The sequence below is a fragment of the Homo sapiens genome, chromosome X (assembly GCF_000001405.40).
Source record: "Homo sapiens chromosome X, GRCh38.p14 Primary Assembly".
Lineage (NCBI taxonomy): Eukaryota > Metazoa > Chordata > Mammalia > Primates > Hominidae > Homo > Homo sapiens.
In genome coordinates, this window is record NC_000023.11 from 119,510,570 (window position 1) to 119,513,124 (window position 2,555).

At 47.0% G+C, this 2,555-nt stretch overlaps 1 annotated feature.

Moving 5' to 3' along the window:
• Nucleotides 1,957-2,251: a silencer, noted in NCBI's record as "tiled region #13316; K562 Repressive DNase matched - State 12:CtcfO". NCBI's record gives its function as "represses a minimal TATA promoter and a strong SV40 promoter by Sharpr-MPRA in K562 cells {active_cell/tissue: K562}" and the evidence as "EXISTENCE:reporter gene assay evidence [ECO:0000049][PMID:27701403]".

The window sequence follows — 2,555 nt, forward strand, 5'->3', positions numbered from 1 at the left end:
TATTGATTCTACCCATCCATGAGCATAGAATGTGTTTCCATTTGTTTGTGTCATCTATGATTTCTTTCAGCAGTGTTTTGTAGTTCTCCTTGTAGAGCTCTTCCAGAGAGGTATGTTTTTAATAAAATAACTTATCTTTAAATGGAAGCGAAAACGTGTGGAAAACATCCCAATTGGTGAGGCAGGGTGAAAAGAAATACTGCAATTTCTGAAAGCTTTGGATAAACTCACACCTGATAGTTTACCAAAGGACTCAAAGATGACATTTGGGTCTTCATGTTCCATGATGACCTTGTCTGAGTCAGAGGAATCCATGGCTCAGCCACAGGGTGGCATTTTATGTTCTTGTGTTCTCACATCCTTCAAACATCCTCACTGCTGCATATGCACGCCCACACCTTCTTCCCACATCCCGAAACCACTGCCCGAAGACAGGCCAGGTGATCGGCAAAATGAAGCCCCTCAGCTTCCAGTGAGCAGACAGAAGGCTTCTTCTCAGCCCCTCCTTCCCCTTGCTGCTTCCCAGGGGAGAGGCAGACTGTGGCCCTATGATTTTAGGAGCAGTCCCTGTCCCCAGTTGCAATATGGGTTCAACTCCCGACTATTTATTAGTCTTAGGCCTCTTGCTCTGCCCTATTTTATGATGTTCAGAACAACTCTATGAAAATGATAAGGCTGGCATTTTTCAATCCTGCCTCTACACTGCAGGTAGGGGTGAAGCCTCTTCAATATTGTTTTCCTGCTGAGCATGGTGGCTCACGCCTGTAATCCCAGCACTTTGGAAGGCTGAGGCAGGAGGACTGCTTGAACCCAAGAGGTCGAAGCTGCAGTGAGCTATGATTGTGCCATTGCACTCAGCCTGGGCAACAGTGAGACCCTGCCTGAGAAAGAAAAAAAAAAAGTAGTGTTTTTTTCTTACTACTTCTCTTTTCAGAATGCTTTCAACTGCCTGCTATTTTGAGTCCAAATTCGTGGCATGACCTTCAAAAACAAGTTATCATTAATTCAGCACTTACTATGTGCCAGGCGTTGAATCTCTTGTATCCCCTGAACCTAGTAACAACTGTAGGACAGGCATGCCACTATCTTTCAAATGAGTGAATAAATCCTCAGAACAGCCAGAAAAGCAGGTATTATTATTCCCCATTCTATTAATGAGGAGACTGAGGCCTAGAGAAGTTAAGCCACTTGCCTGAGGTCACAGTTAATAAGAAGAAAAATCAAGATTCAAACCCAGGTCTGTCTGATTCTAAATCTTGGGGATGCTATATATATATATAAAAATATATATATTTCTATATATAGAAATATATATATAGAAATATATAGAAATATATATATCTTATTATTTTATTTTATTTTGAGATGGAGTCTTGCTCTGTCACCCAGGCTGGAGTGCAGTGGCATGACCTCTGCTCACTGCAACCTCTGCCTCCCGGGTTCAAGTGATTTTCGTGCCTCAGCCTCCCCAGTAGCTGGAACTACAGGCGTGCATCACCACACACAGCTAATTTTTGTCTTTTTTGGTAGACACGGGGTTCCACCATGTTGCCTAGGCTGGTCTCAAACTCCTGGCCTCAAGTGATCCACCCACTTCGGCCTCCCAAAGTGTGGGGATTACAGGCGTGAGCCACAGTGCCCGGCAATATATGGCTTTTTAAGTCTCCTCCACCCTCAGCCTCCAGAGAGCAGACAGACAGGAACGTTCTGGCCTAGCAGACAGCCGTGTGATATTTTTGGTTCCAGTTATTACCGTGGAGATGGTTGCAGCTTTCTAGGCAGATGGAAGCACGCCAGCTGCCCCATCTACAGACACCGCCCTCCACAAATAGCTTATCAAACCCTGAGGATTGCAATATAATAAAGCAGCTGCCCCTGGGAACTCCCACAGCCCTCCCAGGATACACACCGTTGGCCAGCCCCAACCGCTGGTCCACCCCTGGAAGAAGGACTTCTTGGAAAACCTGTTGTTAGAAGGATTTCCTTCTAGGTAGCTGCTGTGCAGCCAGTAACCAGGGCTGCTCTCAGGGAGGATGGCTCCACCTTTCATTGTGCGGGCCTCCCTGTAGCCAGCTCTGCTCCTGTGGAACCTACTGACCTCTTGTGGGCAGAGTGTAAATGCACTGCAGCTGGACAGCCTCAGAGGGTGCGGGCTTCAGCCAGCTCCTCAGTTTGATTTGTCTCTGACAATGCTGGAGTGTGCTGGTCTCTTGACCTCGCTGCGCCTTGGTTTCCTCACCTATACAATGGGGAATAAACAAATATCCCTGTCCTACTTGAAAACATGAGAAAATACTTTTTTTTTTTTTGAGACAGAGTCTCGCTCTGTTGTCCAGGCTGGAGTGCAGCGGCACGATCTTGGCTCACTGCAACCTCCGCCTCCCAGATTCAAGCAATTCTCCTGCCTCAGCCTCCTGAGTAGCTGGGATTACAGGCACGTGCCACCACGCCTGGCTAATTTTTGTATTTTTAGTAGAGATGGGGTTTCACCATGTTGGTCTGGCTGGTTTCAAACTCCTGACTTCGTGATCCGCCCGCCTCGGCCTGCCAAAGTG